Source organism: Homo sapiens, chromosome 7 (genome assembly GCF_000001405.40).
Source record: "Homo sapiens chromosome 7, GRCh38.p14 Primary Assembly".
Taxonomy (NCBI): Eukaryota; Metazoa; Chordata; class Mammalia; order Primates; family Hominidae; genus Homo; species Homo sapiens.
This window is the reverse complement of record NC_000007.14, coordinates 129,144,620-129,169,746: the sequence shown is the minus strand read 5'-3', so window position 1 is coordinate 129,169,746 and position 25,127 is coordinate 129,144,620. Positions and strand designations below refer to the sequence as shown.

The 25,127-nt window shown below is 48.5% G+C and overlaps 1 protein-coding gene and 1 pseudogene across 2 annotated transcripts, besides 5 other annotated features; both read right to left on the bottom strand.

Moving 5' to 3' along the window:
- Positions 48-25,040, bottom strand: TSPAN33 (tetraspanin 33). 2 transcript variants are annotated; one of them, NM_178562.5, is made up of 8 exons: positions 24,665-25,040; positions 8,011-8,068; positions 7,226-7,353; positions 6,840-6,914; positions 5,178-5,273; positions 2,841-2,969; positions 2,187-2,348; positions 48-1,974 (listed from the first exon to the last, which is right to left on the bottom strand). In NM_178562.5, the coding sequence occupies exons 1-8, from the start codon at positions 24,764-24,766 to the stop codon at positions 1,873-1,875; spliced, it is 852 nt and encodes a 283-aa protein (NP_848657.1). In that variant the 5' UTR covers positions 24,767-25,040; the 3' UTR covers positions 48-1,872. The 2 variants fall into 2 exon arrangements, with proteins under 2 accessions (NP_848657.1, XP_006716023.1); XM_006715960.4 differs by having other exon boundaries at positions 7,226-7,350.
- Positions 341-560: a silencer, noted in NCBI's record as "silent region_18624". NCBI's record gives its function as "represses an Ori minimal core promoter by ATAC-STARR-seq in GM12878 lymphoblastoid cells {active_cell/tissue: GM12878}" and the evidence as "EXISTENCE:reporter gene assay evidence [ECO:0000049][PMID:35858748]".
- On the bottom strand, positions 4,789-4,898 carry RNY1P11 (RNY1 pseudogene 11; annotated as a pseudogene).
- Positions 18,879-19,475: an enhancer, noted in NCBI's record as "H3K4me1 hESC enhancer chr7:128790113-128790709 (GRCh37/hg19 assembly coordinates)". NCBI's record gives its function as "activates a minimal SCP1, AML or CMV promoter by ChIP-STARR-seq in primed H9 embryonic stem cells {active_cell/tissue: H9 hESC(primed)}" and the evidence as "EXISTENCE:reporter gene assay evidence [ECO:0000049][PMID:30033119]".
- Positions 19,476-20,072: an enhancer, noted in NCBI's record as "H3K4me1 hESC enhancer chr7:128789516-128790112 (GRCh37/hg19 assembly coordinates)". NCBI's record gives its function as "activates a minimal SCP1, AML or CMV promoter by ChIP-STARR-seq in primed H9 embryonic stem cells {active_cell/tissue: H9 hESC(primed)}" and the evidence as "EXISTENCE:reporter gene assay evidence [ECO:0000049][PMID:30033119]".
- Positions 22,006-22,055: an enhancer, noted in NCBI's record as "active region_26624". NCBI's record gives its function as "activates an Ori minimal core promoter by ATAC-STARR-seq in GM12878 lymphoblastoid cells {active_cell/tissue: GM12878}" and the evidence as "EXISTENCE:reporter gene assay evidence [ECO:0000049][PMID:35858748]".
- Positions 24,918-25,127: a silencer, noted in NCBI's record as "silent region_18623". NCBI's record gives its function as "represses an Ori minimal core promoter by ATAC-STARR-seq in GM12878 lymphoblastoid cells {active_cell/tissue: GM12878}" and the evidence as "EXISTENCE:reporter gene assay evidence [ECO:0000049][PMID:35858748]".

The window sequence follows — 25,127 nt, the reverse complement described above, 5'->3', positions numbered from 1 at the left end:
GAAAGCGCGCTTTTTAACTGTCCTCTCCCAGAATAAAAGGCCCTTACTTTTTATTCTAGATTCTGGATAATTTTATTTTTTCTTTCCGTCTGTTACTAGTTGGGAGCTAAACACTGGCCAGGGTCCCAGCGGCTGCTGGAAAGGCGCCTTCCTAGGAGCAGAAGGCTCGCTTAGGAGACACTGGGGGCAGGGAGCGAACTCGCGGCTCTTTGTCCCCGCAGCAGTTCGGTCGAGGCTATTTCCCGCCAGGCCGAGCCCCTGGTCTGAGCGCCCGATAGCGGGGTGCGGCGAGGAGACTCCGGGAACACTCGCTGGGCAAGCAGCTAGCACAGCCCCCCATCTCCTCCGGGTTGGGGGACGCAGGCGCGGGCCTAGGCCGCCGCGGGGGCGGGGACCACCCACGAAGTCCAGCGCCCCGCCCCGGACGCGCCCGCCCCGCCTGCCTCGCGCGCTCCTCCCGGCGCCAGGAGGCCCAGCGCACCGCGCCGAGCTTCCTCGGAGTCCTCCCTACAGCCGACTCAGGGAGAAGGTCCTGGAGGGCCCGGGTAGGGGAAGAGAGGGCCTTCTTCCTCCTCATTCCCCGTCCCGGCCCCAGCGGAGTGCTCATGTCCCTCCTCCCCATCCCCCTCCTGTTTTGGGTGACAAATTAATTTTAATTAGAAAAACACAGATCAGGTTTTGGAACAAAATTATGCTGTTCCTAGATTGGAACTGGGACTCTTTCGACCTAATTTAGAGCAGAGGGCGAGGCTGTGGGAGGGTGGCAATGCATCGGTTGAAGGAGACGCGCGTGTGGCGGGCAGCAAGGGGGAGGTGTGTGGCGTTTAGGAGAGTCTCCAGTGCCGTCCTCTGCAGGGCCCTTCTACACCTCCCCTTCCAGTTGCCAGAATGGAAAATTCATGGAGTCCCGCGTAGCCCAGGTCAACACGCTTTTATTGCCACTTCTGGCTCCCCTCGTCCCAGCAAGATTCCTACCTCTTACCCTGTAGGAATACTGAGCTCCGATGCAGGGGAATGGGGTGGGGGTGTTACCACTTCTCCTCTGCACACTGCCAAGTTAAAGAAAACCCTGCTTGCTGGAGAGGGAGGGCCAGACAGGGAGGAATTCAAGGGCATGTATGGCTCAGTCCCACTTCTGACTGCAGAGTATAGGGACCAGGGTTCCAAACTTTTTTTCGAAGTAAGGGAGGTGGGGAAGAATTTGGCTGCTGTTGTACCCCGTGTCCTAGCTGCCATGTTTCCATGGAAATGAAGGCGGGGCAGGATGTAGCTCACTCTGACTACCTGGGAGGATGGCAGGACAGGCATTTGGTAAACATATCTCCCTCCACTCCTACCTAGCACATACGGCTGTCCCCAGCCGACCCCCAGGCTCTCTCCTCACTGCCTGCTCCACTCCCTTCCCTTCTGGAGCTGGTATCATGCCAAGTGGAGTCCAGGCAGGGCTGCCAGTGCTACTCTCCACAGCCAGGTCTCACTGGCACGTTAGGATCTAAGTATGTCCGCCAAGCTCAGGAGCATCCCTGCTAGAGCTGGTGGTGGCAGTGCCTCGGTGAAAAGGCAGCAGCAGTACCCCCAACTCTCTGTGCAACTGCTGTTTCCCAAACAAAACTGAAAACATAAACCCAAACACTTAAGGGTATCACTCTGGCACAATGCTGAGGGCTGGGATGGGGGAGAGGAGGCGCATCCTCCTGAGACTGGAGCCACCTGTGCACCCTGCCTTCTGCCCATCTGGAGTTTGCTTCTTCCCACTGGGCTGTCACTGGGGGGCTGGAATCCAAATCTCCATTTGGTGCTGCTTTCAGCACCCACTGCTGTTCGTTTATGAGGCTTGCCAGTTTCCATGGTGAGGAGGTGCAGGATGGATTCTCAGTACCATGGGTCAGCCCGGTGCTGCTGGTTGTAGAGCTGTAGCTTGATCTGATCTTTGATCTGATTCACTAGGATCTGGGACAGCAGAATTCCCACCAGCTGGGAGAGGCAAGAAGGAATTGGGCACTCAGCAGTGAGTGATGGCCTTGTTTTCCCTGGCTCGATCTTCCCAGTGCGGCCAGCACTATCCCTTTCCCTACCCCTCAGCCATGTCAGTGCCTGACACCCTCGCTGATCCCCAGGTGCCTTCCCCAAAACAAAGGAGTCTTTACAGAGTGTGTGGGACCAACAAGTCTCACAGGGTAAGTTACCTGGGGGATGGCCAGGCCTAGAGCCACACCACCAAGTAAGAATAGGTTGCTGTGTATCCAGTTGACCAACTTGTCAATACAGCCATTGGTGTAGATGACTTTGCTAGCTTCCAAGTAGTCAAAGGCCTGCATACCTTGGCCACACATAGTGTTGATCACTGCCTGGGGAAAGAGTTGAAAAGCCAATTGGGACTGTAATTCCAATAACTTTTTGTTTGGGGCCTTAGCTGATGGGCTTCCCACCCTTCCCAAACTCCTAAATTGTCAGAGAATATATGTGGAGGATATTGGGTTGGAAGTTGCCAAATGCAGACTTCCCTTCCTCTGAGAGGTCAGGATCCAGGTCTCTTTGCTCTGGGTGGTGGAATAATCTGTACAACAAACCCCTAAGACACAAGTTTACTTATATAACAAACCTGCACAGGTACTGAATCTGAACTTAAAACTTAAATCTGTCCCTTCTGAACTCCATGTGGACTACATGAGTATGAGGTTAATAGAAGCATCAGGTTGGGGTGAAGAAAAACACCTGACAGCTGTCCCACATGACTGATCGGTGAAGCTAGGGGATGGGGATCCCCAGTAGCAGCTGCCCCCATCAGAAAGTGACTCAGCTCGCTGCCTAGGAGGAAATGAGGCAGGATGCTGGCTCACCTGGTCAGGAGTAGGCAAGCAACAGGAGTAAGGCACAGAGCAGCGCTCTCGACTGGGGTTGTCTTCTGAGCAGTTGAAATACATGTTCTGAGACCAGTCCTTGTAGGAAATCCCTCCACAGCAGCTAAACTGCAACAAAACCCACCAGAGGTTAAGAATCACCCACCCCTCACACTGAGGTGACCAGGGGAATTCTCAGAGCCACCAAAAGTCTATAGCAAGCTTCTACTGGGAACTTTAGGTTGTGTTTTAACACAGCCTTAAACTTTGAGCTCCAGCTTCCCAGTTGCCTTCGCCTGAAGATATTCTCACTTCTTAATTTCTATTACTTCGTATATCTTGTTATAACTTACCACTGTGCTTGTTGGTATTACAGTTGTACATATATTTTGTTTTACATACTCAGCTATAATCTTCTTGAGAGAAGTTTCTGGCTTTGCAGGCAAATGGAAGTGATCAAAAGTATTGGCTGAAATAATTACAGTATCAGTGCTGAAAAACTTCTCCTTAAGATAGAGAAAACACAGGGGAGGAATCTTCAATATTGTGAGTCAATCATTACTCCATGAGAGCCAACTGGATCTCAAAGTCAAGTGTCTATTGCACCAGAGGAAGGGGAACTCAGGACTTGTCTCAGAAGCACTTTTACTTAAAAGTTAACTTTTTTGGCCAGGTGCTGTGGCTCACACCGGTAATCCCAGCACTTTGGGAGGCCGAGGAGGGCAGATCACCTGAGGTCAGGAGTTCAAGACCAGCCTGGCCAATATTGCAAAACCCCATCTTTACTAAAAATACAAGAATTAGCTGGGCGTGGTTTGGCAGGCACCTGTAATCCCAGCTACTCAGGAGGCTGAGGCAGGCAGATTCACTTGAACCCAGGAGGCGGATGTTGCAGTGGGCCAAGATCACGCCATTGTACTCCAGCCTGGGTAACAGAGCAAGACTCCGTCTCAGGGAAAAAAAAAAGTTAACTTTTATTTTTCACTTATTTATTTTTGAGACGGAGTCTCTGTCTGTCACCCAGGCTGGAGTGCAATGGCATGATCTTGGCTCACTGCAACCTCCAACTCCCAAATTCAAGCTATTCTCGCACCTCAGCCTCCTGAGTAGCTGGGACTACAGGTGTGCGCCACCAAACCCGGCTAATTTTTGTATTTTTGGTGGAAACAGGGTTTCATCATGTTGGCCAGGCTAGTCTCAAACTCCTGACCTCAAATGATCTGCCTGCCTTGGCCTCCCAAAGTGCTGGGATTACAGATGTAAGCTACCATGCCTGGCCTAATTGTTAACTTTTGATTCATAGCAGCCTTGTTCACAGTAGCCGAACGGTGGAAGCAACCCTTTTCTCCACTGGTGAATGAATGGATAAACAAAATGTGGCATATACATACAACAGAATATTATTCAGCCTTCAAAAGGAAGGCAGTTGTGGCACATGCCAAAACAGAGATGAAACTTGAAGACATGCTAAGTGAAATAACCCACTCAAAAAAGCATTAATACCGTGAGTCCCTTCATTTGAGGTACCTAGAGTTGTCAAATTTACAGACAGAAAGTAGAATGGTGGTTGCTGGAGGAGAGGAAAATGGGGCTTTAGTGTTCAATGGATACAGAATTTCAGGAGAGGAAAATGGGGAGTTAGTGTTTAATGGATACAAAGTTTCAAGAGAGGAAAATGGGGAGTTAGTGTTTGATGGATACAGAGTTTCAAGAGAGGAAAATGGGGAGTTAGTGTTTGATGGATACAGAGATTCAAGAGAGGAAATGGGGAGTTAGTGTTTGATGGATACAGAGTTTCATCTGGGGCAGATGAGCGTTCTGGAGATGGTGGTGATGGTTGCACAACAATTGAAGGTACTTCATGCCACGGATCTGTATGCTTAAAAATGGTAAATTTTACATTATGTAAATTTTATCACAATTTTTTAAATGTAATTTTCTTTTTTTTAGTCTAGTCAAGTGCAGCAGTGAGAAGGGGGGAAAGAGTAGAACAAGGAGTTGGATCTGTAGCTGACTGTGAACAATCAAATGAGATAACTCACTCCCTTTGGACCAGCCTAAAATGTCACTTTTGAAGAGGTAATATTCAAGAATCTGCCCAGTTCCTCACCCCCTGTAGGTAACCATTTATAACACAGTAGATTACTATATATACTGTTCTGTGTCTTTAAAAGTACATTTAAAGCACTCTGCTACGTGTGCTTTTTTGCCAAACCCCTTCCCAGAAGCCATTACCTGGCAGGTAATGAAGAGCCCCACAGGCATAGAGGGTGAGGCATCTCTTGGGATGACATTCACTTTTACCCACAGTCCCCCAGACCACTGGCTGACCCATACCTTTTTCTGGCCAAAATCAATGAGGTTCTGCAGATCCAAGTCATCTCGGTAGTGCACAATGGCATTGTTGATGATCTCACTCACTTTCCCTCGAGCCTGCCGGAGACATGGGCAAGGAATCAGAACACAGGACTAATCCCTAACTTGCTCCTTCCAGCAAAAATAACAGTAGACAGGGATCATCCTTCTTAACTGAGTCTGCCTTGAAATCAGAACCGAGTCCTAATGGTGGAAGATAGCCGGTTCAGTTCCAAAGCCCATCCCAGGGCCCTCAGGTACCAGTGGGCAGGAGAAATGCTGGACCTGCTGTTGAAGCTTTTCAGAGACACATTTCAAGATATACCAATGTGTATCTATCTCTGAATGCTATTATCACAAAATACTTGTTGACTGATAAAAACAAACTAATTTTTAATTTTTTTAGCAGAAAGTAGCTTACTGAGCTGAGGCACTGCCCTCTAGTGGACACTAGATAATTGCATCTCTTTAGACTCAAAACAGAGCTATTTAATACATCATTTCAGGATCTTACTGTAAGCCAGGAGGACTACGAAATTCGGAATTAACTCAGTGGCTCTCGATTTCATAATTTTCTCCCCTCCCCTCCCCTCTCCCTTTCTCTTTTCTTTTCTTGATACAGTTTTACTGTCGCCCAGGCTGGAGTGTAGTGGCGCGATCTCAGCTTACTGCAACCTCCTTCTCCTGGGTTCAAGCAATTCTTGTGCCTCAGCCTCCTGACACCTGGCTAATTTTTTTGGTGTTTTTTAGTAGAGACAGGGATTCGCCATGTTGGCCAGGCTGGACTCGAACTCCTGGCCTCAAGTGATCTGCCCGCCTCAGCCTCCCAAAATGCTGGGATTACAGGCATGAGCTACCGCGCCTGGCCCAATTTCATAATTTTCTACCATAGTCTCTTCCTTCCTGCCCCACTACTTTTCTCAAATTTTCTTTCCTTAGTTTTGTAGTCTGCCCTTGGCAATCATTTGCCTTTTGGGAAAGACATTCTGGTTCTTAAAAAGGACTGTCACTGAATGGCAGACCATTTCCAGATATGGCAAGCATTGTTCAAAACCTTTTATTAAGCCAATCATGGTGGCACATGACTGTAATCCCAGAGACTTAGGAGATGGAGGCAGGAGGATCACTTGAGCCCAGGAGTTCAAGGCCAGCCTGGCAACCTAGTGAGACTCCCATCTCTTAAAAAACAAAAACAACAACCAAAAAAAAAAAAAAAAAGAAAGAAAGAAAAATAAACCTCAAAACAAAATCTTGTTCTCTTCCCCCTTCCTTCCTTCTGTTTATCTCAATAAACAATTTTTAAAAGAAATAAGAGGCTCTTCATATTGTCAGTGGTCCACTTGATTATTGAGTTTGATTCTGTCATTTGCTATTAAAGTTTCTAAGTTATTTTAACTTTGTGTTTGTATAATTTACTTCCCTGTTAGCTTCTCAGACTGTCAGAGGAAAGCACCTTATGATCTTAAAATTCTCTTCAAATATGATGAGTTTACAGGCTATTCATTCACCCCTAATGAACTTTTCAACGACTGATGTTTCTCAGGGGAAGGAGCTGTGGTTAATTAACCAGGCTAAACATGGGCAGGAACCTTCCTTCCTCCCTCTGGGTCACACCTGAGGAGGCCTCCTGGCTCCCAGTGTTACCTTGTCTGAGAAGACGAAGCCCAGGATCCCAGCGGCCAGCTGCAGCAGGAACACAGCGGTGAGGCAGAGGGAGAACTGTGGAGCAGCAGGAAGAAGAGGCGTCTAGGACCACTCATGGCAGCAACCCCTTCCAGGGCCAAGGGGATGCTGGGAGCTGCCAGGCAATTCTCCCAGATGCCCCACACATGAGAAAGGCAGCTGCCTCTGGGACACTGTCTTGGGGGTGGCCACCCTGTGCTGGGTCACCCGGGCTAAGCTCTGCACTGAGGGGTGGACAGCACAGGCTTGGGGGTAGGGTAGGACAAGGCAACCAAAGGGCCGTGGGAGGCTAAGAGGCATGATGGGGAGAGGGCCAGGGTCTTTCCAGTGGGGCCTTGACCACTCACCGTCTGCAGGAGGCAGATGTTCTCGCGGAGGGACCCAATGCAGCCACAGAAGGTGAGCAGGAACATGAGGACACCCACCACGATCAGCAGGATGGCAGGGTCCACTGCCAGGCAGGCTAGGGCTGCTTCTGGAAAAGGAGCCGGCCCTCAGCCTGAGCCTGGTGCCCACTGAGGAACCCCTGGATGGGGTGGGAGGGTGCCCCAAACTGTTCTCCTTCCCCTGGTGGGGGAATCTCCATTATGGTTGGATGAAGGTTAAGGGGAGGCAGTACCCCTGTCCCATGGGGAGAACCAAAAAGGGCCCAGAAGGGTTGTGGCATTTAATTTGAGGAACTAAAGAAATAAAAGCCTTTATTCCTGGGCTTAAGGAGGGGCTGCTTTCGCTCCGCAAAAGAATTGGAATGGCATTAGGCTCACCAGCTTTGCAGATTCTGTTTCCTGGTGACTTGTGTGGTGAAATAGGAATGGTGGTTGGGTTTCTCCAGGACAGAGCTAGGGAGGGGCTAAAGCCCTTGATGACTCTCTGCTCCCAGGGGCCTACCTTCTTTCTCACACACTTCCTAAGCCTCAAATGTAGGCATATCCTGGAAGACTCAGAGGGGCTCAGGGAAATCCAGGGGCACTGGCCTGGGGGGGTCTGACACCTACGTAGACCATGAAGATTTGGCTCCAGGGAGGCTGCCTCCTTTAGCCCCATAGCTTATGTGTGAGGGCCAGGCTGAAGGAGGCAGAGGGGAAAGGGGCATGGCACAAGGTGGGGGCAGGGAGGGAGAGCTACAGCTCACCTGCATGCTTCATTAGCCGAGCGTAGACACCCACAGCCACCATCACCATGGAAATCACCTGTGGAGACAGGAAAAGAGCCAGACCCTGAGATTCTGGAAACCAGAGAGCCCTGAATGCCATGAGAAACCTAGGAGAGCAGGAGAAGGACTGCTTTCCTGGGACCCAAAGGTGAGCATCTTTCACCTCCCCAGTGATTCTGCTGATAGAATCTGTCAGGGCTTTACCTCCATGAGACACTTTTACCCACATCATATTTTTCATTATTCATTCAGTGCTCGTAACACAATTAGGTTGTGAGGCAGACATTATGCCTATTTTACGGATGAGGAAATTAAGGCAATCCAAGGTTAATACTGAAGAGTGATTAAGAATATGGGCTTCAGGCTGGGCATTTTGGGAGGCCAAGGCAGGAGAATCAACTTGAGGTCAGGAGTTTGAGACCAGCCTGGGTAACATAGTGAGAGCTTGTCTCTAGACACACACACAAAATAATAATTAGCTGGGTGCAGTGGTGTGCACCTGTAGTCCCAGCTACTCAGCAGGCTGAGGCAGGAGGATGGTTTGAGCCCAGGAGTGCAAGGCTGCAGTGAGCCATGACTGTGCCATGGCACTGAAGCCTGGGTGCCAGAGTGAGGCCCCGTCTCTAATAAATTGAAGTTAAAATTAAAAAGGACACAGTCTTCAGAGCGAGTCAAACTTGGGTACACATAGGGCAAATTTCTGAGCCTCAGTTTCTGTATCTGAAGATGGGAAGTAAGAACAAACAACTGACAAGATTACTGTAAGAACCAACTAAAATAATGCATGGAAATAATTTAACACAATGCCTGACAATAAATATTATCTATCATTATTAATAGTTAACTTGCCCAGGGTCACACATAAATGGAAAAGTTTTGAATTCGAATCTATCTGCATCAAAGGACAGGTTTTATACCTAAAGCAGGCCTGGGCGGTTGCATACTCCCAGCTCTCTAACCCTCTTAGAGGTCAATATCATGTCAAGTACAAAAAGAAAGTGCACTCCAATGTGAAGGACTGTGTGTGAGTGCATGTATGTAAGCACTGGAACTGCCTTGGCAAAGGAACCTTTATCTTCACAAACTCTGATTCCAGTGTGGAGGAATAGAGAGGAGTTTAGATCTTTCAAATTTCCTGGCTTCTCCCTGAGAGAACAAACCCATCAGAGACTAATAGGAGACCCCAAAGAGGCCTTATCTACCCCCTAGCCCCCAGGCCTCCAGGGGTGCAGGAGAGCCCCAGTGCCTACTTCCCTTGGCCACCCTTTTTTTGTGCCCAGTCTCCAGGCTGGTGCTAAGCAGCAGCTGGCTGTTGCCATGGCAACAGATGGGGCCAAGCTCTGGCAGGAGAGAGTTCTCAGCAGCAGGGTCTTGACCAACTCAGTGGGGAAGGAGATGGCTGGCTAGACACCACTGTCCTGCAAGACGGAAAGCAGCTGGAAAGAGCCACCATGGGGCTTTGGTGGAAGAAGGGAGCTAGGCCCCCAGAACAGGTAATAGGGTCAGATGAGTCCCTCATTTTTCCCTGTAGGCCTCCTTGTTGAAGGTCCTCTGCCATCTGGCAGGGGAGGGCAGGTGCATTCAGCAGTAAATGGCAAACCTTTATCTAAAACCACGTCTTCCAGAACTCTTCTCTGCCTGTATATACAGCCCCCTCTTTTTTGCGGGGTGAGGGAGGAGGGTCTTGTGCTATTGCTTAAGCTGGAGTGCAGTGGCATGATAATAGCTCATTTCAGCCTTGACCTCCTGGGCTCAATTGATCCTCCCACCCTAGCCTCCCAAAGTGCTGGGATTACAGGTGTGAGTCACCACACTCAGCTGGCCCCGGTCTCTTCCCACCTCACATCATTTGACCATGCCTCTAACTCAGGGCCCAAAGTGTTATTTGCTGGCCTTCATACTCTTTGTCCAGGAGGGTGGGAGCTGCTAGCAGAGCTGCAGGTGCCAGCTGGCGCCTTGTCCCACAGCACTGCCAGGCTCACGGAGCATGGGGGAGGCAGGGAAACTACATGACAGAGATGCCAGTCATTCCCCAGGCCTGGTGGCCAGTCCTCCACCAGAGTCAGTGAGCATCTCTGTCTGCCCTTTAAAACCCACTGCAGCCAATTACAGTTCTGAGTGTCATTTTACTGAACTATTGAAAAATGTGTATCTGCTCTTGATTTCTGTTGCTTCCAGGCTCTCATTGTTTTTCATGTCAAATTTTCACCAGGGTGTATAATTTTCCACAAAGATGGTATCTGATTAAATCGTAGCACAGCTAAAACAAGAAAGGCCAAACAAGCACTACTCACAATAGCAAAGGCATGGAATCAACCTAAATGCCCACCAACAGTACGGGAAAAAGAAAATGTGGGGTCAGGCCAAACACGGTGGCTCACGCCTATAATCCCAGCACTTAGGCCAAAGCGGGTGGATCACGAGGTCAGGAGTTTGGGACCAGCCTGGCCAACATGGTGAAACCCCATCTCTACTAAAAATACAAAAATTAGCTGGACATGGTGGCACACACTTGTAGTCCCAGCTACTTGGGAGGCTGAGGCAGGAGAATCGCTTGAACCTGGGAGGCGGAGGTTGCAGTGAGCCGAGATCATGCCACTGCACTCCAGCCTGGGCAACAGAGTGAGACTTCATCTCTAAAAAAAAAGAAAGAAAAAGAAAATGTGGGGCCGGGTGCAGTGGCTCATGCCTGTAATCCCAGCACTTTGGGAGGCTGAGGCAGGTGGATCATGAGGTCAAGAGATTGAGACCATCCTGGCCAACATGGTGAAACCCCATCTCTACTAAAAATACAAAAATTAGCTGGGCATGGTGGCACATGCCTGTAGTCCCAGCTACTTAGGAGGCTGAGGCAGAAGAATCACTTGAACCCGGGAGGCGGAGGTTGCAGTGAGCTGAGAACGTGCCACTGCACTCCAGCCTAGCGACAGAGCAAGACTCTATATCAAAAGAAAAAAAAGAAAAGAAAATGTGGTACATATATACCATGGAATACTACGCAGCCATAAAAACGAATGAAATCATGTCCTTTGCAGCAACATGGATACAGCTGGAGGCCATTATCCTAAGCAGATTAATCCAGGAACAGAAAACCAAACTCCATGTGTTCTCACTTGTAAGTGGGAACTAAACATTGAGTACACATGGCCACATGTACTTTAGAGTGAAGGGTAGGAGGAAGGAGAGGACGGAAAACTACTTATGCTTATTACCTGGGTTATGAAATATCACCCCATGACACATAATTTACCTATATAACAAACCTGCACATGTACCTCTGAACCTAAAATAAAAGTTGAAAAAATGGGCAAAGTAAAGAGATGCCACATATCATAGAGTAAGTTAACTGTATTTATGGGCCTGTAATGACAGCAGTTGCTCTGTCTCTATCTATGGTGGAGAGAATAATGTCCCCTCAAAGATGTCCACGTCTTAATTGCTGGAACCTGTGATTGTGTTACTTTTCATGGCCAAAGGAACTTTGCAAATGTGATTAAGAATTTTGAGCTAGGGAAATTATCCCTGAGGACTCAGTATAATCATAAAAGACCTTCTAAGAAGGAGGCAAGAGGGCCAGAGTCAGAGAAGGAGACGGTGATGGAGGCAGAGGCTGGACTGCTGTGGTGCCACGGATGGAGGAATGAGGGCTGCCTCTAACAGCTGGAGCAGGCAAGGAGGCGAGCTCTTCCTAGCACTTCCCGAAGGAATGCGGGGCTGCTGTATTTTAGCCCAGCGAGATCTGTTTGATTTTAGCCCGGTGAAACCTGTTTTGGCCTTCTGGCCACCAGAAATATAAGAAAATTAATGTGTGTTGTTTTAAGCCACTAAGTTTGCGGTCATTTGTTACAGCAGCAACAGGAAACTAATACACTGTCCAGATCCAATTCATCTGCTGCTATGCAGATGGTACACTGAGGACCCTTAATCCATGCGTGGATATGGTGGAGGGACAAGAGCGTTTATAGCTGAAAGCACATGCTCAACTTTGGCTGCCATTAGAATCGCCTGGGACTTAGGGTTGTTGGGGGAGAGGCTTAAAAAACTGCTAATGCCTAGGCTGCATCCCAAACCAAGTCGATCAGAATCTTTGGCATTGGGACCTAGGCAACAGTATTTCTGAATGTGTTCCAGGTTATTTCAATGTGCAGCCAAGCTTGAGAACCTACAAGCCTAAAGAATAATCAGCCAGGGATCTAGAGCCACAGATACAGGCTACATTAAAATCAAGATTAAGTCTTTAATATTATTATTAATATTTAATATGATCACTAATGATATCTCTCCCCTAAGCTCTCAAATTCTGCATTTCACAGCTTGACCTTGCACACCCCCATTCCTGCCCCCACTTCCCACCCTGGATTCCTCAAAGCTACTGCCATTCCAAAGTTAGTGCTGCTGCTGCTGTTCATAGCATCACGTTTGGAGGTGAACAGAACCTTAGAAATGGGTTTTGGCCACTCACCTCTTTTTATAGATGAGGCCAAAAGAGCGGAAGTAACATTTAACCAAGTGCATATGGGTGCAGTGCACCATCTGGACCAAATCCAACCTCCCAATCTCATTCTGGAACTCTTTCCACTATGCTAGAATTTTCTGTAAAATCCTTATGGCACCTCACAATATCATGAATGACCTCCTTTCACGATGAGGATGGAGATAAAGACATTTCTCTTCTTTGGATAGCTTTTCACATTCCGACTAGAATGAAGCCTGGCTGGAAACTTCTAAGAGCTAGATACAACTTTTAAAATGGCTGAGTCTAGCTTTTAGCAAAATGTATGTTCCTGAAAAGTTGTCAGTCAAATTATATAAAATAATTTGCACACACCAGTACCATTATCCCTATGAAAGGTGAATGATCACCTTGTAATGAAAATAGCCATCCCCTGGGCTCCTTGGAGAAGTGGCTGATTCTAGGATGGGGGCAGGAAAGGCACGAGATGAGCCTAGAGCATCTTGTAGTGCCCCAAAGAAAGGAAATGCTCACGAAGAAACAAAAATGAATTCCCCACATCAGTATCCTCATCAATGTGAGCATCCCAAAGGGACACAGAAGCCAACTGAAAGAGCTCCCAATGGCCAAGGCTAGAACAATTTGAGCACCGAAATAAAGAAATATTGAATTATTACCCAAAATAAAAAATACACATCTGTGGGCCCATGCTGATATAAATAAGTGACTTAATGAATAGCAGAGAAAAGACAAATCTCCTACATAGAAGAATTTCAAATAATTCATGTAGGTACTCCATCCTCAAAGAGGTAGAGCTTAACTCCTTACTCCTTCAGTGCAGACTGTGCATAGTGACTTTCTTCCAAAGAGCACAGTGTGGAACATGGGGAGAAAGGCTAACTCTACAGCGGAGGAACCTGATAAACACTACTTCATCCAGGCGATCGAGGCCAACATCAACAATGATCATGTTGCTGAATCACTTGTATGATATGATATGATGTGATGTGATGAAAATGGCACTTGACTTCTCTGGTCTTCCTCCCAAAAGCCATAACCCCAGTATTACAATGATGAGTAAAACAGCAGGCAAGTTCCAATAAAGGGACATTCTACAAAATACCTGACCAGCACTTCCCAAAACTGTCAAGGTCATTAAAAACAAGGTAAGTCTAGGAAACTGTCACAGCCAAGAGGAACCTAAGGAGACATGACAACTAAATGTAATGTAGGGCAGGACATGGTGGGCCACGCCTGGAATCCCAGAACTTTGGGAGGTCGAGCGGGGAGGATGGTTTGAGCTCAGGAGTTTGAGACCAGCCTAGGCAACGTAGACCTCATCTCTACAAAAAATAAAAATAAAAATAAAAATAATCTGAGTATGGTGGTGCATGCCTGTAGTCCCAGCTACTTGGGAGGCTAAGGTGGGAGGAGGATCGCTTGACCCCAGGAGGTTGAGGCTGCAGTGAGCCATGATTGTGCCACTGCACTCCAGCCTGGGTGACACAGCAAGACCCTGTCTCAAAAAAAAGAAAGAAAAAAGTAATGTAGTATCTTGAATAGGATTCTGGAACAGAAGGATATTAAATAAAAATGAAAAAAAAAACCAATAAAGTGTAGACCATAATGATAATACTATTAATTACAACAAATGTATCATACTAATGTGTTAATAACAGGGAAAACAGAGTATGGGGTATATAGGAACTCTCAATACTATCTTAAAATGTTTTTAATTGATATATGTAAATTGTATGTATTTATGGGATACATATGATATTTTGATACATGTGTACAATGTTTAATGATCAAATCAGGGTATTTAGAACATCCACCACCTTGAACATTTATCATTTGTGTTAGAAGCCTTTTAAATTTATTTTGAAAAATACAATATATTGTTGTTAACTATAGTCACCCTACTGTGCTGTTGAACACTAGAACTTATTCCTTCTATGTGACCATATGTTTGTACCTATGAACCAGCCTCTTTTCATCCTCCTGCCCCTGGATCCCAGCCTCTGGTAACTCATTCTATTCTCTACCTCTATGAGTTTCACTTTTTTAGCCCTCAAATATGAGTGAGAACATGCAATATTTGTCTTTCTGTGCTCAGCTTATTCACTTAACATAATGACCTCCAATTCTGTCTATGTCACGAATGACAGGATTTCATGCTTTTTTATGGCTGAATAATATCCCATTATGTATATGAACCATATTTTCTGTATCCATTCATTTGTAGATGGACACTTAAGGTTATTCCATTTCTTGGCTATTGTGAATAGTGCTGCAGTAACATGGGAGTGCAGATGTCTCTTCAATATATTCATTTCTTTTTCTTTGGATAAACACTCAGTAGTGGGATTGCTGGATTGTCTAGTAGTTCTATTTTTTGTTTTTTGAGAAACGTCCATCTCTGTACTATCTTCTCAATTTTTCTGTAAAATTGTTCTTGAAAAATAGTCTATTACCTCCTCCCACCCCAATTTGTTAGTTTATACTTTTTATTTTATTTTTTGAGACAGAGTTTCGCTCTTGTTGCCCAGGCTGCAGTGCAATGGCGCGATCTCGGCTTACTGCAACCTCCACCTTCCAGGTTCAAGCGATTCTCCTGCCTCAGCCTCCCAAGTAGCTGGGATTACAGGCATGAGCCACCACACCCGGCTAATTTTGTATTTTTAGTAGAGACAGGGTTTCATCATGTTGGCCAGGCTGGTTTCAAACTCCTGACCTCAGGTGATTCACCCGTCTCAGCCTCCCAAAGTGCTGGGATTACAGGCGTGAGCCATCACACCTGGCCTATACATTTTTTAACATCAGATTTTCATAAACTAGGGTTCACTTGCATACAGTTTTACAAACTGTAATCTGGGTGATTTCCCATCAATCACACCAAAACTTAAGGCAGTGGATCTTTTTTTCTTCCCCCCACCAACAGACAAGGTCTCACTCTTGTGTTGCCCAGGCTGGAGGGCAGTGGTACAATCATAGCTCATTGCAGCCTCAACCTCTTGGGCTCAAGAGATTCTCCTGCCTCAGCCTCCTGAGTACAGGCACATGCCATGACACTCACCTGATTTTTAAATTTTTGGTATAGATGTGATCTTGCTAGGTTGCCCAGGCTGGTCTTAAACTCCTGGCATATGGTGATCCTACCTCATTGGTCTCCCAAAGTGCTGGGATTACAGGCATGAGCCACCATGCTTGGCTAAGATAGTGGATCTTAAAATTGTTCAAGTGACAGAGCACTGGGAAGTCACAGTGCTCTGTTGGTGTACATTATAGATTTTGTCATATTCTTCTTCTTTTTTTTTCTTTGAGGCAGTGTCTTGCTTTGTCACCCAGGATGGAGTACAGTGGCACAATCAAGGGCTCACTATAGCCTTGACCTCCTGGGCTCAAGCAATCCTCCTGCCTCAGCCTCCTGAGTAGCTGGGACTACAGACACATGCCACCAACTGGGCTAATTTTTAAATTTTTTTGTAGAGACAGGGTTTCACCATATTGCCCAGGCTGGTCTTGAACTCCTGGGTTCAAGTGATCCACCCGCCATGGCCTCTGAAAGTGCTGGGATTCCAGACATGAGCCACTGCAACTGATCTTTTTTAAACTTTAATACACTATTACTGTGACCTAATTTACAGTCCATATGTAACTTTCCCCAATTATCCCCAAAATGTCCTTTGTAACCTTTTTTTTGTTTCTTATCCAGGATCCAATCAAGGATCATGCATTTAGAGATTAACTCTCCTTCAGCCTGGAACAGTCTCTTGGCTTTAATTCTTTTCTCTTTAATTTTCTTCCTTTGTTTTTGGTCTTTAAGACACTGACTTTAAAATTTATGGTAAAATACATGTGACACAAAATGTACCATTTTAGACATTTTAAAGTAAACAGTTCAGTGGCCTTTAGTACATTCACATGGCTGTGCAACCATCACCACCATCAGGGTGCAGTGCTTTATCATCACCCCAAATAGAAACCCTGTACCCATTAAACCATCACTCCCCATTCCCATCACCCTGTCCTCCGCCCCCAGCCCCTGGTAACCACAAATCTGCTTTCAGTCTCTATGGATTTGCCTATTCTGGACATTTCCTGTCATTGGAATTACATACTAGGTGACCCTCTGTGTCCGGCTTCTTTCACTTAGCAGAATGTTTTCTTTTTCTTTTTCTTTTTTTTTTTTTTTTTTTTTTTGAGACGGAGTTTCACTCTTGTTGCCCAGGCTGGAGTGCAGTGGCGCAATCTCCGGCTCACTGCAACCTCCACCTCCCGGGTTCAAGCCATTCTCCTCCCTTAGCCTCCCGAGTAGCTGGGGTTACAGGTATGTGCCACCAAACCTGGCTAATTTTGTATTTTTAGTAGAGATGGGGTTTCTCCATGTTGGTCATGGTGGTCTCGAACTCCCAACCTCAGGTGATCCTCCTGCCTTGGCCTCCCCAAGTGCTAGGATTACAGGTGTGAGCCACCCGCGTTCGGTTCACTTAGCAGAATGTTTTCAAGATTCATCTGTGTTGTAGCATGTGTTACAACTTCATTTCCTGTTTGTTTGTTTGTTTGTTTGTTTTTTGAGATGGAGTCTCACTCTGTCACCCAGGCTGGAGTGTAGTGGTGCAATCTCAGCTCACTGCAACTTCTGCCTCTCAGGTTCAAGCGATTCTTGTGCCTCAGCCTCCTGAGTAGCTGGGATTACAGGTGCATGCCACCACAACAAGCTAATTTTTGTAGTTTTAGTAGAGGCGGGATTTCCCTATGTTGGCTGGGCTGGTCTCGAACTCCTGACCTCAAGTGATCTGCCCGCCTCAGCCTCCAAAAGATTACAGGCATGAGCCACCGTGCCCTGCCAACTTCATTTCCTTTTATCGCTGAATAATACTTGGTTGTGTGACTGTAACACAATTGTTTCTCCATGCCTCCATTGGTAGACATTTGTGTTGCTCCCACCTTTTGGCTGCTGTGGATAGTATTGCTATGAACATTCATGTAAAAGGTCTTGTTTGAATACCTGTTTTCAATGTTCTCTATACCTAGGAATTGCTGAATCATATGGTAATTCTATGTTTAATTCTTTAAGGAGCTGCCAAACTGTTTTCCACAGCGGCTGTGCCTTTTTACTTCCCCACTAGCCAAGTGTGAGGGTTCCAGTGTCTTCACATCCTTCCCAACACTTGTTCTGACATTTTTTTGGACACTGACATTTTTCATGTTCCGGCCAATTGTTTTGCAGAATGTCCCTCGATTTGGATTTATTTGTTTGTTTCCTCACAGATTCAGATTACACATATTTGACAGGAATATTACACAGATACTGCTGTGTCCATCTCAGTGTATCATGTGAGGAGGCAAACATATTAATTTCTACTACAGAACTAAGGAACAATTTTACTAAGAGATGTGGCTGCTAGGTGTATGTCTCTGCGTTTCATAAAACAACGCAGGCATACTCTAAATAAATTGTTTCCTAGTTTTCCATAATAGTTGCTACTTGTCCTCTTCTGCTTGCCTTTTGTTAGCACTTGCAGGCAGATAAGCAGTTGCAGGTACTAATGTTCATGGGAGAAAGGAGAAAATGAAGAAAATTTTCTTATCTTGACTTTTTTTCTTGCAAATTGGGAAAAAATAGTCATGATTTGATGTTTAAAAGGAGAAACCCTTATTCTAGCCCACAAGACAGTACTTCAGGGCCATCAGTAATAGGAGAGGAAAGGTTGCAGGGCCTCAACTTGAGGTCCTAAACAAAGGTTGTTCTCCTGGCTCTTATGCCCAAATGCCAATAATTACAGGCAAATTAGCTCCCAGAGTCCATCTCTACTGGATTGCATTTAAGATCAAGGTAGGGCCAGGCATGGTGGCTCATGCCTGTAATCCCACTACTTTGGGAGGCCAAAGTGAGGAAGATCATTTGAGGCCAGGATTTGAAGACCAGTCTGGGCAACACAGTAAGTCCAGTCTCTAAAAAAAAATTAGCTGGGCATGGTGATGCATGCCTGTAGTCCAAGCTACTCAGCAGGGTGGGGTGGGACGATTGCTTGAACCCAAGCAGTCGAGGCTGCAGTGAGCTGTGATCCCATCACTGCACTCCAGCCTGGGTCAAAGAGCAACACCATGTCTAAACAAACAAACAAATAAACAAATAAATACGTAAATAAAAGTTTTAAAAGGCCAAGGTGGTGTGACAAGCCTTGAGAAGCAGAGCTAGGGAAGCCCAGGAGACAACAGTGGAGCTCTGTTCATGGGATATATAGGAAGTATCTCCATAAACTAAAAAATATAAAGCTACCAATAATGATTGTCTCCTGCTTAGCTTTTTTTCTTTTCTCTTTGATTTTCTTCCTTTGTTTTTGGTTTTCCTTTGTTATGGTGAGAATGTGAGCAAAGAGGGTTGAGCAAAGGCTGGCCCTTCCCTAGCCAGTCCCTGTCTGCTTGCCACTCTCTTTCCTCCTCCCTGGAGGAGCGCTCAGCCTCACTCTCCACGCCCACCCCCAGCAGGTGACCTCTAGGAGCATTTACAGGGACAGCAGTGGCAGTACTTTTTGTTGAGTGCTAAGGACCAGGCGCTGGGCTAAACACTGTCTCATTTAATTCTGACCACAAACCCAAGAGGGCATTAGGATCTCCATTTTATAGAGCTGATGTTCAGAGAATTCCAGCAACTTTCCTCAGTTCACATGGCTAGTGAGCGGCTGAAGTGGGAATGGAACCTAGGTCTGGATGTCCCCAAAGCCTTATGAGCTTGGCCACTTGGCTGCCTTCCTATCTCTGCCTCCCAGTACCCCCAGGATTTTGCCTATTCACATCAGCCATCATGGGAGATGGGAAGCAGCTGCTTGTGGTTCCCTTGGGGGAGCAGCTGATAATCTCCAAATGGGCTGGTTTTCAGGCAGGGGAAGGAAGATTGCAGCTGGCGGCGGGGACAGGGTGCCAGCAGGGCCCAGGAGGTGGCTCAGAGGGAAGTCTCTGGAACAGCACTCTGAAAAGGGAAGGCATGGCGTTGCCACAGTGGGGCCACCAGCAGGCGTAGCCTCCAGGGAAAGCCCTAGCCTTGTCTGTCTTCCATAGTCCAAAGTCCAGGCTGCAAGAAGCAGTGGAGCCCCACTGTCTCAGGGCCCGCACCCCCTCCTTAGAATCTCTTTCCCTCCTGTTTTGAAGGTGATGGTGGAGACAGCTGAGGGTAAAGTGGTTCCCTGTGTGGCAATCAAAACCCTGTCCCTGCCCAGAGGGAAGTGGGCAAGGCAGTGGTCTCCACCTCTGGTTTCTCAGTCCTCCCTACCCTTATATCTGGATGAAGCCAAAGAGCTTTCAGCCTGTGGCCCCGGAGTAGGGCCACCTCTCTCCCTGCCCGTGACCTTCACATACTGGTCTTTCTGTGCTCTCCATGGCGCTGCTGTTATGGGTGTCTGAGGTGGCGGCTGTCCATGGGAGGCTGGCTGTCAGCGCTCTCCCTCTGGATTGGGGGACACTGTCCCCCTGGAGTGGAGGAGTCCACAGGGCTCCTTCCTCAACAATGTCCGGGGCCAAGCCTTTGGCATCTTCCTCAGGCCACGGCTGGCTTTGTTCTTCCAAGGTTAAGAAAGAGGAAGGGAGGTCTGCAAGGGCTTGCAGTAAATAACCATTCAAACTCAAAGCCCCGGAGGGACTGGCCCAGCACTAGCCTCCTAAAAAGATCTGAGAGGCACTCTATGTTTTCTTTTTTCTTTTTTTTTGAGACGGAGTTTCACTTTTGTTGCCCAGCGTGGAATGTAATAATCTCGGCTCACTGCAATCTCTGCCTCCCAGGTTCAGGTGATTCTCCTGCCTCAGCCTCCGAAGTAGCTGGGAATACAGGTGTGCACCACCACACCTGGCTAATTTTTGCATTTTTAGTAGAGATGGGGTTTCACCATGTTGGCCAGGCTGATCTCGAACTCCTTACCTCAGGTGATCCACCTGCCCCGGCCTCCCAAAGTGCTGGGATTACAGGCATGAGCCACCGCGCCCAGCCTTCTTTTTTCCTTTTTAAAGGCTGCTTGACGTTTATGGTTTTCTACTTGGTACAGGGCAAACAAAGCTGCTGGGAAGTTAAGAAGTGTGCACGCGACCTGCATAGCAAAGGAGATGGTTCTTGTCTTCATTTCCCATATTTTGTAATTTTCGTTGTTTTTATAAAAAGCATCTGTCTTCAGTTATGGAAGCCAGCCAAGTCTATGGGGAAGACGGCGGGGGTGGAGGAGGGAGGTGGTGGGCTCTGCCTCCTAGTGTATTTGGAAGTATAGGATGAGGGGGTTGGATGGCAGAAAGGGCCCCTGCCACTTAGAAGAGGTTTTTGCCTGGCTTGATGCCTGGTTACTTCCTCATGGTTTTTGAGCCAGACGAAAAGAAATGGTGCTGAGAGTGGCCTGGGTGATTCTGAGTGCCCAAGGACTCCAATACAGTAGTCCTGGATGGGAGAGTGGATTTCTTGAAGAAGATGCCCCACTGGTGGCTTGGCTCAGCCTAGGGAAGACCTGGACAAGGGTGCATATATGTGGCAGTGGAAGTGAGAAAATCCAGATGCTGTAGGCAGTAAGTACGTGTGGCTCTGAGGAGGGGATGGCTGCCATGTTTCTGACCTGGCTTAAGTGGAGGGTTGCCAGGCCGCCAGACCCACCACAGAGGAGAACACAGTTGGGTACCTCATCACCAAGAGTGCTCAAGGACCCCAGGTTGAGCTGCATCTTGACAGGCCAGTGTCCATGAGGAAGGGAGGATGGGCATCAAGCCTCTACCCTGTGGGGTTTGCTCTCTCACTCACCATCCAATAAACATTCAGTAAGCACCCAATTTATGCCAAACACAGCTGGGCACTGGGGATCCAGAAGTGAATAGGGCCGTGCCCACCCTCGAGAGCCCGAAGTCTAGAGGGGGAGACGGAGAAGTAAACACAATTGCAGCACAGGTAAGGGATGTGACAATAGAAGAATACAGAAGGTGCCATGGGAGCCCTGAGGCATGGCTGCTAGGGAAGCCTGGGCTGAGACACAGGGGCTGGAGGTCTGAGCTTCTGGGCTCTGCCTGACTCAAAAGCCAGCCAACTGCTGCCCTGAGTGGGAAAAGGACCAGCGAGGAAGGAGGTGGGCGGCACTGAATATTCCTGACAACACATGGCCAAGCTGAGAAAGCAGGCACCACCCCAATATCTGCACGGAGCTGTCCTGCAGAGGGAGGTGAGGAGAGGCAGCTGCTCTGTAGCCACCCTAACTGATTTAAATGCAACATCTAGGATCTTAGAGCAGCTACTCCAGGCCATGGAATCCCCACAGTCAGTAACCCAGCAACATGATTCTGGGAAGAAAATCAGAACTCCCAGGTCAAAGGGGAAGTGAGATTTGAAACATGAACAGTAGGAACTGGTCCCAGTCCCCCAAAATTCATTAGTTTTCTGAGTCAGACTCCAAATGCCCCAAGAGTCAGGGCTTCTAGAGCAACAGCAGACGTAGCCACCATCACCACCAGCACCACTATTCAGAGCCCAGAGGATGCCGGACACCTTCCTAGTGGGTTCCAGGCACAGACACAATAACCACTGCCATGCGGCAGCTCCAGAAGCCGGCCAGAGCATGCACTCTGCCTGCAAAGGGTGTGGGCTGACCATCATCTCATCCATAGGTGCTTCCTGGGCAGAAGAGCAGAATTTGATTAGGATGGTGGAAGTCTACAAAAAAGAAAGCATGGGAACCAGTCCCTGAAGAGGAGCTAGGAAGAAAGATGGCCCCCTGATCTGGGGAGGCAGCATTTTCTCTCCAGCTGCTCTTGTATGAATATACCTGTGCAGCACTGGGTTTGGGGGAGAAGGGACATTCAATAACACCTGAAAAGTACTGTCCCCTAGGAAGGGCAATCAGGACACAGGGAGATTCATCCTTAGATCCAGCTCTAGGTCTTGAAGAAAGAAAACAGTCCCCAAAATGATTCATTCATCCTTAAATAGTTCACTGAGGCAGAAATTGTTTCTCCTTTAGAGGAGAAAGATTAAGGTCAGAGAGACAGATACATTGGCTTAGGGTCACACAGTAAGTTGGTGCCAAAAAGATGCTGAGCCTCTTGTCTTTCAGTGTGCTATTTCTAGAGCCTCTGATTTTTTATGAGTCTACTGTAGGGCCAAGAAGGGGCTCTATTCTAATTTGGGGTGGTGCTAGCTTGGCCACCCACGTCTTCTGACCTTGAATGAAGCATTTTTACCAAGGTAAATGGGTCTGTGGAGCCAAACTCTCTCCTGGCTGAGATCTCTCAAAGTCGTTTGTCCGATAAAAGGGGGGTAGGGTGGAGGTAGGGGGTAGGGAAGCTCGAGAAAAAAAAAATGACCAGGAACACAAGTGTAACAGATGCACCCAGCTGTTGTCACTGGCGAGCACAGACAAGGGTGAGGTACCAATGGCTCCAAGGGAGACAGTCTCGGCAGATAAAGGAAGTCAGAGTGACGACCTAAAGTCCCTGAAATGCTAGTGCTGGCTCCGAGGATGTCACGTCACTGGCCTGGCACACTCAGTGAGCACAGAGACTTCACTGATACTTGCCCCTAAGTGGGGAGTCTCTTAGTACATCCCCCAGCACTGGTAGAGTGGTAAGGGATTTTCTTGTGTTTTTCCCTAACCTCCAGCTGAAGCAGAACCTAGACTATGGGAACTTGGGTTGACTGGTTAACTACTAATACTGCCCATACCCCAGCTATAGCAGCAGCCATCTGTGCTGAGGACTTCCCCCAGCGGCACTGTGGTTCAGTAGAAAGGTCACCAGACCAAGCCTGCTAACCAGCTGTTGGACCTTGGACAAAACATTTAACATCTCTGTGCTTTAGTTTTCTACATTTTATAGACATAAACACAGATGCTGGACAAGATGTCTTCTAAAATTTTTTTCCAGTTTTACAACTGAGCATTTGATAGGAGCACAAGTTTCATTTTCCCCAGGAGTAGGATGGCTGAGTGCGCTGTCATCACCACCCTATGGGATTTCTCTCATTTGTCCCAACAGGCCAGCACTTATGGGCTTTGTGTCTGCACCTCACCCCACGGGCCCTGTGAAACCTTTCCAGCAAATGGCTTAGATGTCTGTTCTGCTCCCTCCCCTAGGAAACATATTTTAGACTCAATTCTTCCCTCCTGCAAGTCTGAACTTTAGGTCTCCAGCTGAAGTGGGCAAGGATGGTGGGCTCCAGAAGCAGCAGCTCTGGTGTGGTAGGAGCCAGAAGAGGAGGTGAATGGGGGAAGGATGTCCCTATGTTCTCACACCCCAGGACCTCCAGGACTCTCTAGCCAGGAAACAGGGTCGAGCTGGCATTGCATGATCTGGTTCAGCTCAATTCTCAGCTTCAGCAGTCTTTCTGCCACCCCTGATCACACTGGGTTGGATTTGTGGGGGAGGGAGTCAAGGCCTGCAGACATGAACATACATGCTTAGGTCGGTCAAGTCAACAATGAACGGCAGAGTGGGATGGGAATCCAGGTGTCCGGAGTCCCAGCCCAATACTTTTTCCACCCCAAGCAGAAGATTCTGAAAGGACCCCTGGCCCTCCGGCCCAACACGGGGTCCTGTTTAAAGACACTGGTGATTGCCAGGCTCCAGGGGTGAAGTCTGGTCCTGAGAAGGGTGGCAGGGAGGGGACAAAGTTTGGGGCAGTGCTGGGATGGGAAAGACATCTGCACCTGGAGGCCATTCTTCCTAGACTTTGGGGGGGTGGAGGTGGGGGTAGATGAGGCCTGCAAAAGGAAGAGATGATGCCAGTAACCCATCCTCTCTGAGGTGGTGGAGAGAGAGGTTTGGGTTTTTCCTTCCTCTTCTTTCTTTGCCAGCCGGGCCTCCAGGCCCCCAGGCCTGAAAGTCAGCCGCCACCCCCGACCCCCATCATGAATGTGTCAGTGGGTCCGCCTTGGGCCAACAGGCTCCCTCAAACCCACATTTCTAGCCTAACACAGACCCTCCTCCGACGCCCCGAGAATACCCATCAGTCTTTACTGATTCCCTGGCATACCCTCCTCCCTACAACGCCCCCTGCAGACGCGGCGTCCCCGGGGTGTCCCTCCCCAGGATAAATTCCCCCAAAGTGCCGTCAGCCCAGAAAACTCGGCAGTGCGGCTCCCGCGCGTGGGGCACCCCGGGCCACCCTTCCACCCCGCGGGGGGACCCCGCCGCCCAGGTGCCCTCGACCCCGAGACTCACCCAGAAGAGCATGTTGAAGAAGAAGAGCAGGTATTTCACCAGCGGGCTGACGAAGGAGAACTCCTCCCCGGAGGCGGCCGGCGCCCGGGGTCTCCGCGCCATGGCCCCGCCGCCGCCACCGCCCCCGGGGGCCTATTTCCCAGCGGCTGCCGGCCGGCCTGTGTGCCCCGCGCCCGGGGGCATGAGCCGAGCCGCGCCGCGCAGGAGCCCGGCCGGCGGGGGAGCCTGCGCTGCGGCGGGAGGCGCCCGAGCCGGGGGGCCGGGAGCGGCGCGGGCCGGGGAACCGCGCCTGGAGCTGCTGGAGCCGCGGTGGGCAGCGCGAGCGGACGAGACTCACCCGCGGCCGCAGGACCAGCCCGGCCAGCCAGGCGCCCAGGAAACCCGGCCCGCCCCCGGCCGCTCATTGGCGCGACGGCTGGAGCCCGACTTCCCATTGGCTCGTGGCTGATGTCACTAAGTATCC

Excerpts from the sequence above, each read along its gene's own strand:
- TSPAN33 (NM_178562.5), bottom strand. The coding sequence starts at position 24,766 with ATGGCGCGGAGACCCCGGGCGCCGGCCGCCTCCGGGGAGGAGTTCTCC. Across the intron at positions 6,915-7,225 it reads ACATCTGCCTCCTGCAGACG|TTCTCCCTCTGCCTCACCGC; the intron begins GTGAGTGGTCAA and ends GCTGCTCCACAG. Across the intron at positions 2,970-5,177 it reads TTGATTTTGGCCAGAAAAAG|TTTAGCTGCTGTGGAGGGAT; the intron begins GTATGGGTCAGC and ends GTTTTGTTGCAG.